This window comes from Homo sapiens, chromosome X (assembly GCF_000001405.40).
Source record: "Homo sapiens chromosome X, GRCh38.p14 Primary Assembly".
NCBI classification, from domain to species: Eukaryota; Metazoa; Chordata; class Mammalia; order Primates; family Hominidae; genus Homo; species Homo sapiens.
Window position 1 is genome coordinate 111,132,096 of NC_000023.11, and position 13,427 is coordinate 111,145,522.

The following is a 13,427-nucleotide window of genomic DNA, read 5'->3' on the forward strand; positions in this document are numbered from 1 at the left end:
TTGTTTGGGGCACTAACTGACAGCCTTTTAGTAACAGATAAATCAATGGACCACCGAAAGCATCTATCATCCAGCTAAAGAGTAACGAAGTCACTAAGGATCATTTGTTAGGGAAATGAAGAATGTCACCCATAGGAGGTGGATGGCCCTTTAATAAGACTTATATATCCTTTCAACATGGATTTCCCAAATCAAGGCTCAGGAATATTGAGATGAAAAATAGGCCTTTAAATATGACAGATCTCTAACCTAGCCATCTCCACTGTTTCTGCCAGAAGTGGTCCCTGTGACTACAAAAGTTGCTTGGCTTTAGGAATATATAACACTGAATGAATACAGATTGCACCTGGGCAGGGTGAGGGGGACAAAGGGTGGAAAGAAGGACAAGGGCTTCTGGTGTCAAGCTAGGGATTATGAGATAAGTGCACCTCCCAGGAGGGCCTCGACCCCAGCAACTACACTACAAGCCTCCTAACGGAATGTTTTATTAGGCTTCCTTTATCTCAAAGGACTTAATGGAAGACCACAGGATAGAGACATATGGGTATCCAGCCAATGCACAAATCTGGGCTGCATTCTGACTTTGAGCACAGATTTAATTTATTAGCTATCTCAGTTTAAAAGTTAGATATAACAGAATCTGGAGCATGTTTTTAACTGCTTATATACCACTCAGAAAAGAGTTGTGCCTACTTTTTATGTGCCTAGCTCTGTGCTGATTATTGTGAGGGATACTACATATGAGACAAGGTTCCCTATCCTCAGGTAATTTTCAACATAGTTGCAGAAATCATACACACACACACACGCCGAGTTTGTGGGAAATGTCCAGTAAGTGATCTTAGAGAAAACAGATACAGTGGTGGGGAGGTCCTCCCCATTCCACTCCCACCATTCATTCTTCTTTTCCACCTGAGTGAAACAGCAACCATCTGGAAGCCTGCCCCCACCATGGCATGTGTACCTTTAGCAGCACACAGCTATCTAGCTTGTCTTCTCACACCTTTTTTTGTTGTGTCATTCAACTATTCAAAAACCTTTCTCAGCATATTTTGTATTACTACCTCCGATTTCATCTTTCTTCCCTTCCTGATTTCCAAGGCTACACCCTACTTATTTATTGTGTCTTCTCATTTCCTCATCAACATGCAATATGCATCCCTACTTCCAACCTTTTACCTCTACTGTTCTTCCTCGTTGAGATGACTTACCCTTGCATCTAGGTATCCAGTCTTTAAGGCCCATTTCTCAAAACATACCTCCTCCAGTAAGCCCTGACTGTCCACCACAGATTTCTGTGATCTTTTCTTTTGACATGCTACTATCCTATATTCTGCCCAACTTAGCACCTAATTTTCTTTGGTAGTTTCTGTTGCTATTTCTTGTTTATTAAGGTTATTTCCCCAGTTAGATTTCAAGTTCAGAATATTACTGAAGTTTCTAATGAATCACCCAGAATAACCTGTCACTACAGTGATCCACAATTCAATATAGTTGCTAACTGACTCACTGATTCAAAGGAAAGGAAGCTGGGACAGTAGCAGGAGGAAGTTGTGTTTTAGAGCCAAGGTTGTAAAATGCTTGCCTCATAGAACTAGTCAAACTATGTGTTTATTTTTCTTTAGAAAAATTATTTCTGCAGTAAAAATGCTTTATATGATATTTTGCTTTTAGCTTTCTGTATTAACAAGGCTTCAAATGTTGCTTTTAAAATTATGACATGTACCATAATATTTTGCATGCTTTTCATTGCTTTTAAAAAGATGATTATTGTTTTGTGCTTTTAGGCTAAATTTATGTAGGAAAGCATTTCCCTATGTCTGTCTTCTGCCATCCTTTTTCTTTTCCTGCATGCTCTGTTTTCAAGAAGCTAGAAAGAGTTCTAAAAAATAAATCTGAAAATGACCATATGACATCCAGTGAATAGGCCCAACAAAACTTCCAGGAATTTTAGGGGAAGATAACAAATGGAACTCCTACAACAAGGAAGACTCAGGTGAGAGCTTTCTAAATTGCTTTCAGAAGGCAGCCATAGCACCATCCAGGGATTTCATCTTGGGGGAGAATTGGTTGCTTTGCTCAACCTTGAACCATGCCCAGCTATGTTACCATATATGCCTTTGGCCCCAAAGTGGTACCTGGCAAGAGGTGTGCCTGAATGAATAGAGTCATCCCCACTGTTGGGGGAAAAACAGCAACAATGCCACCAAAAACAACTTCAACTACAAAAACAACTGTAAAATATACTCCTCACCCTTAGGCCTTCTTGGCAGACATCGATCATCTTCTCCTCTTCTATGAACACATAACAGCAAATAGGCATGACCTGTCCCCATATACTGGGCCTTATTTCATATAATGAAGGTCATTCATTCATCCATTCATTTTTTGTTCATTTGCTTTTTCATTAAACATTGAGTCAGATGCTGTGCTAGATAGGTGCTGGGGTACAAAGGTGAAAAAGTCCCAGTCCCTGGCCTTAAAGAACTGAAGCTCTAGTCAGGGACACAGATAAGTTATTCAATGATTAGAGTTTAGTGTGATAAGTGTAATATGTAGGAGTGAGAACTGAGGAGAGGCAATTATTCAAGACTGAAGGAAGGGGTGGTTAGGGAAGGCTTCCTGGAGGAGAGGATTATTGAACTGAGGTGAGTCTTAAAGGAGGCATAGAACTAGCCATTAAGGAGTGAGTGGCATGCCAGGTAGAAAGACCATCATTTTGAAGGCAGCAGGCATGACACGCTCTTAGTTGAGCTTCTATGAATACAACTACAAGTAGTTCAGAAAAACTGGTGCTCTGAGAGTGGGAGAGGGGTAGAGAAGAAGCTGTGGATGTAAGTGGGGACCAGATCCTGGAGGGCTTATCTATGCCATGCTAAGGGCTTTAAATTTGATTCTGAAGGCAATGGGGGAATATTGAAGCAGGGCAATGATATCAGATTTGTGTTTCAAAATATCACTCTAGCCACAGGAGGAATCGGGAAGAGGGGGAAAGAGACCAGTCAGGTTGTTGGAGTCATACAGGTGAGAAATGAGAGTGGCCTGGCTTAAGGGCCACTAATAGCAATAAAAGAGGACAATGCAGAGGGACTATTTAGGGAGGAGAATTCATAGAACTAGGCAACTAATCAGATGGTGAGAGGAAGAGCTGGAGAAGGTTGAGTTAGGAAACAAAAGAAGAGTTGTTATTTCCTGTTTTTGATAGAGAAAAGCACTTAATTAGTTAGATAATTAATGAAATAATTAGGCTTGATTTTGAAAATATTTAGTGTGGGGGTCTGTGAGGCACCTAAATAGAGGTGTTCAATAGCCAGTTAACTACATGGGGTTGGGGTGCAACAGAGATGTCATGGCCGGAGGTATATATGGAGAATCACTAGTGTCAGTGGGGATTGAAATCATGCATGTGGATGAGATGACCCAAGGGAGAAGTGTGTTGATGAGAAGGGATGAAGAGCCTTCTGCAAATGAGGCTGAGAAAGAAAACTGAGAAATGCAGAAATAGACTCTAAGAAAGAGTTGTATGAAAGAAGGTGGGGGAAATGTTAGCTTCAAGAAGTTCGTGGTCTCAAATGTCAGTTTTGACTGAGAGGTCCACACTTGTAAGGACAGAAAAGTAGCCATTGGTCAAGGAGGAGGCTAATTTGTGACTTCAGGGGAGTCATTACACTGGTTTGAGGAGTGAGAGCTAAGGAAATCTAGATTACCTTTTCAAGAAGTTTAACCTAAAGAAAGAAAAGCTAAGACTATAACAGCTAGAGAAGTATGTGAAGAAGCAGAAGCATTTTAATTTTTAAGGACAATAGTGATCTCAGCATGTTTTTTAAGCCAAAAGAGAAGTGCCAGTAGAGAGGGAGAGATTGAGGATACAAGAAGAAATAGAGCATAATTGGTGGATTCACTTTAGGTAGAAGGTGGCAGGAGTGAGACAGGAGAAGAGAAGAAGATGCTACTGCTGGAGATAAATTCATAGGGGCGGGAGAGAAAGTGAAATCAAAGGAATAACTGAAAAAAAAGGAGTCCCTCCATTTATCTCAGTGAAGTAGAAGGAAGGTCATATGCTGAAAGTAAGGGAGGAGGGGGTAGAGCTGAAGTTAGAGTGGAGTTCTGAATTTCTGGAATATTGGGTGTGGTGATTGGAAAAGGAAGTTGGCAAGGGGTGACGAAACTATTGTCAAGCACCATTAATGACCCAGCTATCATAAGCACCAACCAATCTGCATGGCTGTGTGATTTCCCTCCAGCAACTCTTGGCAGCCTTGACATAGAAGTGGAGAGCTTTCATGGTTGGATTCTATTAGGGTAGGGTTTCATAGGACAATTATAACAAGAAGTCAAAGAGTGAAATTTTCCAGGACAGAAGCATAAGAGCAATTTACATGCTGGACGATAGAGTCTCAGCCAGAAGGAAGCTGAGAAATTGGCTAAAAATGGCAGTGACTAGAATGATATTTTGAAACTCAAATCTGCTATTATTGCCTTGTTTCAATATTCCCCATTACCTTCTAGAAATGGAGGTCTTGTTGAGATCAAAGAACAAGTAAAATAGGAGTAAGCACTTGAAACAATTAGCAGGTTAGCCAGATGGGAAGCTGAGCTCAGAGAATGAGATAACAAGGTTGAATATTGCAGAGAAAGGGTTATTCTGGATAATAAAAAGATCTGGGGCAACTATGGTTCTTCACTCTGGCTGTGCATTATCTCTGGAGTTTTAAAAATTCATTTGCCCAGGTTTCATCCCCAGAAATCCTGATATAGTAGGTTATTGGTGGGCTCTAGATATTGGTATTTTATGGAACTCTACAGGTTATTCTGATGTGCAGCCCTGCTTGAGAACCAATGGTTTAAAAGATGGCTGTGGGAATGATTGCAGAAGTGGAAGGGAGGTAAAATTCATTAGAGTTGAGAGAGATCAAGGATCCATAAGGAAAGGGTATGAAGGAGGTGTCCATTAATACCCTGTTTCACACAGTGGTGGCAGCACAGAATGTAGGAAGGAAGACTGGGAGCCAAAGTACTCAATGGAGAACAACGCACTTGGCCAGGAGAACTAGGTGGTGATAATCTCAAAAGAGAGGATTTTGTAGGCAAGTGTAGAAGTACTGATCTCAAATCATTTGGAGTAAAAAAAGAGAAAGTCTGCCTTCTCCATTCTCTCAGGACTACAGGCTTGGGATGAGAAAGGGTGAGCAGCCTCCACCAGTCTTATCTAAGGAAGCGGTACCCTCACTGGATAGTAGAGTCTAAAGTCATTGTTCTCAGTCCCAGCTAAGTAATATAAATACCTGAGGAGTTTTAAAAAATAAAGATGCCTAAGGCTACCCCAGACTAACTGAATCTGAATCTCTGGAGATGGCATCTCTCTTTTTTTTTAAGTTCTCAGATGAAAATGATGTACAGTGAAGTATGAAAACCTAAGGCAAGAGGTGAAGGAAGAGGTAGAAAATGTAGAAAAAAAATGTTTCTGATAGGACAAACTCTTGCAGGTAAAAGAACTGCAGAACATTGGGGTGGGCATATAAAAGGTGATAGATGACTAGAGGGACTTCTCATTCTTTATGAAGTAGTAGAATAGAGAAAGATGTCAGGATGAGAGATTCTGGAGAGATTAGCTAGCCCCAGGAATTACAACCAGAACTCCCAATAGATCTCAAGGCCAAATGCTGTTTGCAGTTTGTGGTCCAGGCAGCAATTTGTAGCCTTGTTCTGAGTTCCAATAGAATATGGGAGGTACACTTAGAAAGTGATACTTTTTTGGACTTCTGCTCTCTGCAAATATCAACCCAGATAGCTGACCAGGTTGAGCTTTAAGATAAATGACAAATGCTCACAGAATTTTGCAGGGTGATACAGACATTTTAGTGTATCTAAAAAACAAAACAAAAGAAAAACTGGTTTTCATCTAGGGTCTAGTTTATTGCTAAACACTTACTGAAAGCTAGAGCTCAAATCTTTTTTTTTTTTTTAATGCCACTGAGTAATAAATAGTTTAACTGTTGAAAACTTTGGTTCTGGAGACAAAGTGGGGACGTAGATTCAAATCCTGGCTCTGATATTTGCCAGCTGTGTAACCCTGGGTATATGATTTAACCCCAATGAGTCCCACTTATCTATAAAACAAGAACAAGACCTGCCTCATATGACTGTTGCGGAGATTAAATGAGATAGCCCCAGATACTTGGCACGTGGTGAGTGTCCCATTCGTGATAGCTATTAAGTCTGCAGGTACAAGCTAGTTGCTGGGGAATGTGAGAATAAATAAATTACACTCTTTACTGTCAAGTATCTCAAATTTTAGATAGAGAGGTAGATATGTAAAAAATACCAATCCTATGCTGATGGTACCAAGCTCAAAGTAGACACTGAGTAGTTCTATGGGAGCATGAAAGGACAGGCATTTAACTTTGTCTGCAGAGGGGAGATAGGAAAAGACTTGCCAAAAGTGAAAAAGCCCAAGAGTGAGTCTTTAAGAGTAAGGACTAATAGGAGTGATCCCCATAAATTTGGGGGAGAGGGTAAGAAGTAAGACTTTCCAGGCATAGGTATAGCATGTATAAAAGCTTGGAGGTATGAGAAAGCCTGGCAGTTTAGGGAGCATTGAATGTGTATAAGTAGTGGGGCACATGGCAAGAATAGAGAGGTTGGAGTGGTAAACTTAGGAACATATCATGCAGGCCCTTGGATATCATGCTAAGAAACATGAACTTTTAACTTATGGGTAATAGGGGACAGCATTTAAGCATCTTAAAGTCAAGAATGTTATTCAGGAGGCTGAGGCAGGAGAATCGCTTGAACCCGGGAGGCGGAGTTTGTAGTAAGCAGAGATCACGCCACTGTACTCCAGCCTGGGTGACAGAGCGAGACTCCACCAAACAAACAAACAAACAAACAACAACACACACACACACACACACAAATGCAAGAATGTGATCTAGCCACAGAGTAGAGAAATGAATGGAAGTGGATAAAATTGGAGGCAGTGATGCTAAGTGAGAAGTGATGAAGCCTTGGACTAAGTTAGTTATTTGTGGGGATGAAGAGAAGAGGATGGATTCAAGACCAGTTTAGGAGATAGAATATACAAAACTTGATGATGAATTAGCATAGAAATAAAGGAGTGAAAGATGACTCCCAGATTCTTGGTTTGGGCAGCTGGGCCAGTGCTGGATTACTCAGGAGCCAGAACAAGCATTTGTATATGGCATCTAGTAAATCTGAAGTACCCAAAATGTGGAAACAGTTTAATTTTGAATATATAGCTTAAAAAAAAGACTCAATCACCATAGGAACATCAGAAATTTTGCACTTCCTTAATTGTTTATGCCTTAGTATTGTTTTTATTTGAATTGCATATTGGAGAGGAGGATCATAATTTTTTTTCATTGCTTAGAGCCGCCTAAAGGAGGAGGAGCCTAAGGCCTTGCTTCTTCTCTAATCTGCGTGGTTAGTGGTATCATTTCACTGTGATAGAGAACACCAGAAGAGGAGCAAACTTGGGCTTCCTGCCTTTGTTATGCTTAGCCCTGAGTGAAGAAAATTGCATAGTTAGGCTGATAAGGCATTGGCAGTCTGGTGGCCTTCTAGGAAAACACCATTAATCCAATTCTGCATGTAACTCAGCCCAAGTGGAGTGTTGAGTCAATTTGCTACAAATATTTTGCCAATACTAATAGAAAAGTTGGGAGAGTTTATTTGCTGACAAGAGGGGCCATGAATTCAAATTGATATAAGATTTGGAGGTACAGATTAAGGTAGGGGCTCTTAACTCAGAGTCCAGGAGAATTATGAACCTGTGAAAGTATATGTATATAGTACATTTTTATGGGCAGAAGTTCCATAGCTTTCTTCAGATTTTTCAGAAGATTGACCCCAAAAAGCTTACCAAGAGCTAATTACTGTGAAGTGAATGAAACTGCTCCTTCAGAGTTACTCACTTGCCTGGAACCCTTCCAGGGCCCTGGAGGGGCCCCGGTACATTTGTATTTGTAATTTTATAATGTCTTTTACTTAAAGGGAACCTTCCTCTCAAATTACATGAAGTATTTGGTCCCCCAACATGTGGATCCACCCCTGCCAACCACAGATTAGGGAATTACCTAACATGAGTTAGTATTTGGGAGTGGAGGCAATCCAATAGAGAAAGAAATGTAGAAGGCCAAAAACTGTACTAGCAAAGGCAAAAGCAATGACAATCAAAGAAAGAAAGGTCACTGAGAAAGGAGGAATGCCAGGCCACATTGTCAAGGAAGTAGAAAGAGAAGTAGCTAGCCATGGCCAGCATGGGTGGGACATCATGAAAGAGAAAAAGTAAGAAAATGATTACAGGAGTGGCTAGGACACCTTCAATAGAGTGATGACACCAGAGTGCCTTTCTGAACAAGTAAAAAATGGTAGTTGAACAAGTATAAATGTTAGCTATAGTTCACAAACATTCAGGGGAAGTAGAAGTACCAACAGAAAACTCTAAACTTCACTGTTAGGATAATATTCATGAATAAAGTAGGCTCACTGTAAAAATGGAATCTGTAATGAGGGTAAGTTATATGGCATATATGTATTTTTTCAAAATGAATCCTAAATGTGCTCCATGGCCAGACAAAGGCCTTGGGTGACTCTTGTTCCCCTGCTCCCAACCTTTCTTTCCTGATCCTGTATAGTTCCTCTCACTACTTCAGTTTTCTTATTTCTGCCCCATATCTCTGTCCTGTGGCTGGAGATAAGGAACAGTGAGAGAGAGTGGAATGAGACAAGAAGCCATAAGAATAGCCTTTGAACATGAAAAGTTTTGAATTTAAAATTTATCATGGGTAACCCACAAAACCAATAATCCATATACGGTTGAATGTTGTCTGTAATTCAGGCCAAGGCAACATCTATTTGAACCAGAATGTTCTAAATTGACCGCCCTGGCAATTCTGAAGTTGATTGGTCTTAACTGGGTAAACCTGGTTCATGCTGACTTGCCCTGTATTAGGAGGGTGAGTACTATTTTTTTCAGTGTGAAATGCAGCCTCACCAGAGATACATGCTCAGATCTGCTAATAAGTGTGTTATGGAAGCGACTAGATGCCATTTTAGAGTGTTTCCACAGTGACTTCCTCCTGGGAACTATTTCCAGATAGACTATAGTTCTCAACTTAGTTTATTCAGTGATTATATCTTTATAGGCTTTTAAATTATGAGCTACTGATACATTTATTTATAATTATGTAACTATGAAAAATCTGCTACTTGAAAAAGACAATGATTTTTGAATGGCTGATATGACAAAATATAATGGAAACATGGACAAATAACTACAAACTAGAAAAACTAAACCAAAGAATGGCTTTAAGTTTTCTGAAAACTAAATAAAATTAATTCAGTAAAAAAAGCAGCAATTTGTAGCTTTTTACTAGCAAAGTGCTGGGTAGGAAATGATTGAAATATTTTTAATAATAAAAAAGGTTTGTAACATAATTGATTTGCAGTGGTATTCTTGTTAATAGAAGAGTCTATTAAGATATGGTTAATAATAGAAACATGTTAAATTAAATAAGTACCAACCACTTGATTATTAGCTATCGTTAACATAGAAACAATTCACAATATCTTTATTGAAAGCTGAAGTGCTTTTCTATTCTTTCTAATAGTATGCCTTAGCTTGACTTGTATATGATGAATTTCTTCCTTAGTAAGTGATATTTGATTCAACAAAGCCAGTTAAACACAATATCCCTAGATATCTCCTGGTTACACTGGTAAAAGGCATAAATCAGTTTGAATGAGAGATTTGTTTCAAATGAGTTTTGGAAATTTTGAATTATTTGGATATGACATTTGTCATCACCCTCTTAGCTACTTCTGCAAATAATTGGAATTTCTGGAGTTAAGTGTTGTTAAAATTGTGTTGGAATCAATTGTCTTTCAACTTTGTAATTGTTTTGATGAACCTAATTGTACAACTTGTGGATGCCAAAACTATACCCCAAATAAATACATGTTAACATTTTGCCTTTAGCCAATAAGAAGAAGGAGAAAGAGCGCCCAGAGATCTCTCTTCCTTCAGACTTTGAGCATACGATTCATGTGGGGTTTGATGCAGTCACCGGGGAATTCACTGTAAGTAAGCTCCTTGTTTTGTTTTGTAAGCCACGAAAGAATTCCTTTGTGAAAATAGTTTTCAAGCAAGAATTGCCATGTCCCAAAATGTCAGACTTAATATTTTTGATGGTTCCAAATAAGATGGACATTGCCTAGGCAATCATAGATGGAAATAGAGGATGGCAACAGCATTGACCAAATTATTTTGTCCATCTTTTAAAAAAGTTTGATCACTGTATAGTCTCAACTTGGTTGAAAATATTAACTAACCATGGCACAGAAGATGTACTCCTGGCAGACAGATACTGCCTGAGCTTTTTCTTTATCAAGTGAATGGAATCAGAGAATCATCTACTCACCTTGGCCAGTGAAAATAATTCATCTGAATAATTCAGGCTTTACATTAAAACCTAGAATACCCAGATCAGCTAACTACGCTAACCAAGAATCTCTATGGAACTGACCTGTTTTTCCCTTTGATTTCTAGAACATAGATAAGTTTTACAATTTTTAGTAGGTATATTTTGTAGATTTTCAAAAAACAAACCTTATATTTCAAGAAGAAATATTGATGGATATATCATGTATGTTCTAGTTGTTTTGGGCATCTCTCTCCTCTCTCTCTAGATATCTCTCTCTAGAGATGTCATGCAATCCATAGTACATACCAATAAGAATTCGCTGGACAGACCATAGCTATAGATCAAGCCTTTTGCTGAATATTTGTAGTGCTCAAATAGCACAAGATCTCAGATCTATGGAATTTTATACTTTTCTTTTTTAAAAAAAAAGAACTGGTATCTTTTTTATTTTATTTTATTTTAGCTCAAGGAGAGAAAAGATGTGGCTATTGCTAGAAATATGTCCCCAGGAAGGTCAACTACCTTTTCCCATACTATTAGTGAACTCCATCAAAATGTACATTCTGAAATAAGGAGTAATTTTGAGGGCATTTCAAAAAAAATCTTTGATAGAGCCATCACCATCAATTCTTGGGCTGTTAAACCAGAGAGAAATTTACATATTAAGTAGTTGAGTTTTTTGTTTCATAACATAGTAGTGAATAGACTGTGTTATATGATTAAGCGGAAAAAAAGAAGGAACAAATTAATCTATGTGGAGAAGCAAACAATGTTGCTGAATTGACAGTCAAATTATCTTATTTCTTCAATTCTGGAAGTAAGTGATAGGAGAATGGAAATGGAAACAGTAAACACCTTGGCCTCATAAAGTGGTGTAAGCTGATTATTTCTGCGTTCTCAGTAGCAAGCAGAGGAGAACGTTAAGAAATATTGACACATAAAGTGGAGATAGGTAAGATTTAACCAATTTCATCATTAAAGTCAGAGACATTACTCAAATGGCTTTGAGTGTGAACCCATTCTTTACTATATTTGCAGAATATTCTCTTAGCCACACTTAGATACTCCAACCTTGCTATTATGACTACCACCACCATCATCACCACCAGAAAAAAACGTAATTTGTATAACCTGAAAAACGTTCTATTTTTAAAAAATTACAAAAAGATTGTAACTATTTTTGCTGACACTTGAAACAAGAAGATCCCTTAAACTTTATAAAAATTTTGCCTAATAACTCTTCCCTTTTTTATTAATTTTTCCAGCTTTGACATTTTAATGTTCTCTGTGCTTTTCCTCATTTAAACTACTATTGTGTTTTATTGTTGTCATTCACTATTTTTCTTTTCTTTTTTCTTCCTTTTTGTTTTCTGATGTGAAAATTTTCTCATCCAGTTATCTCATGTGATATTCTAGTTGCTCTCCAATATTTTATTCTTTCCACTTTTCAAACTTACTTGTCATCTTATGATACAGTATATCTCTAGCTCTTTCATTTATCATTCTGGATTCTGAATGGAAATGAAAGAAAGTAAATCACCACCATCTTGCTGACTGCAGCACCAGTCATTTTCAATTTGCTGTCAATTAGAACCCAAAGAACCCAAAGTGATGGACTATCTTTCCAATGATGAAAAACAGTTGGATACAACCAAACCATATGAAACAAATACTCCTCTCCCTACTAAAAATATCCCCAATTTGAAATAAGATAGCTGTTCGGAAGTATTCCATTGTTACGAATCCATTGAATATATAGAAAGACATAGGCTAAATTTGGAAAATGGAAGTACTTTATTGTCATCCTGATGATCTTTTGTAACTACTTGTTCATACATTATTCTTAAAGATGCCAAATTCTGCCCTTTTTGGTACTTTTTTAACCTGTGATTTACATTTACTATATTATTATGTTTATTAAATGTAAACATGCCAAATTATAAAAAGCTTTTAAGAAAGTCTTTTTATTGGTAGGATTTAGAATTGGGTCCTAATTGTCATAGCACCACTAATTTATTGTGTGTTGGGAGGGGATCATATTAAGTTTGATTATCGTGGTTGTTGAGGTTGAATTTTGTGCAATTTGCTGAACTATCTAATCCAGTTGTCTTACAAGGGCTTGTTATTTTGAATATTTGGACACTGATTTGCTGTGTTGCTTGGTGATTACTCTTTGGCTAATTGGCCCATATGACCTTGTATACCTGGTCATACACTTGGACCCTGAAGCTAAAAGTAGGTTGGGAGGTGAGATTTTTGGTATTCAATGATTATAAGTCCTCATCCTTTATATTGCCATTTTTGTCCCAAATACTTCAGAACTCCCCTTTCCAGACCTCTAGACCTGTGACGGTCGCTTCAAGTCAATCAGAGGGAAAAATGGTATGAGTGATATAAATTATCATTTCTTATGATAAGATAAATGCTTGGCCTGTTATATCGTGCTGCCATTCTCCTGGGCTACACTGGACAACCCCCAGCTTAATTTACTTCTAGTTGGTATCCTATACACAGTCAGACATTGATATGTGCTCCTGCTTCTGATGCTCAAACTCCTAGGTCTTCATTAGCTGTCTAACTTTTGGGATTAGTTCCTCAACGTGGCATAATGAGATGGCTTTATGACTATGTGCCTTTGTGGCATACATTCAAATTTGAATGTCGGGTTTTAGTGATAATTGGATTTGTCTCAACTTAGAAAAAAGAAATGTCAGCAGTGTAGTCAAAATTATGTCAGCAGTGTAGTCATGTGGTAAGTATAGTTGTCTGGAGGATTTTCTGCTATTGGCAGCATTTTTTCCTGCTGTCTAGTGATCATAAAACTATTTATCACAAAAGTTTAGAAGTGCCATGGGAATGTATAATAACTGCCAATATTCTAATGATTATGGTAATGATTATGCCAGTAATGTCTGCTCTAGTGGTTATGTGCAATGCATACCTCAATTTGTAACACTTAATAACTCCTTTGGCCATTACGGT

At 38.1% G+C, this 13,427-nt stretch overlaps 1 protein-coding gene across 36 annotated transcripts in view; it reads left to right on the top strand.

Moving 5' to 3' along the window:
• PAK3 (p21 (RAC1) activated kinase 3) overlaps nt 1-13,427 on the top strand; it is a 282,965-nt gene that overhangs the window by 187,699 nt on the left and 81,839 nt on the right. For 32 of the 36 annotated variants that reach the window (NR_136747.2, NR_136748.1, XM_047442148.1 and 29 more), the window contains one exon: nt 10,001-10,101. Coding sequence is in view for 34 of the 36 variants with exons in the window: in XM_047442148.1 (XP_047298104.1) it covers nt 10,001-10,101 (101 nt within the window). In the remaining 2 variants the exon portion in view is untranslated. Of the gene's footprint in view, nt 1-10,000; nt 12,828-13,427 lie in introns of those variants that run through there. The other 4 variants (NM_001128168.3, XM_017029563.2, NM_001128172.2 and 1 more) reach the window with 2 other exon arrangements.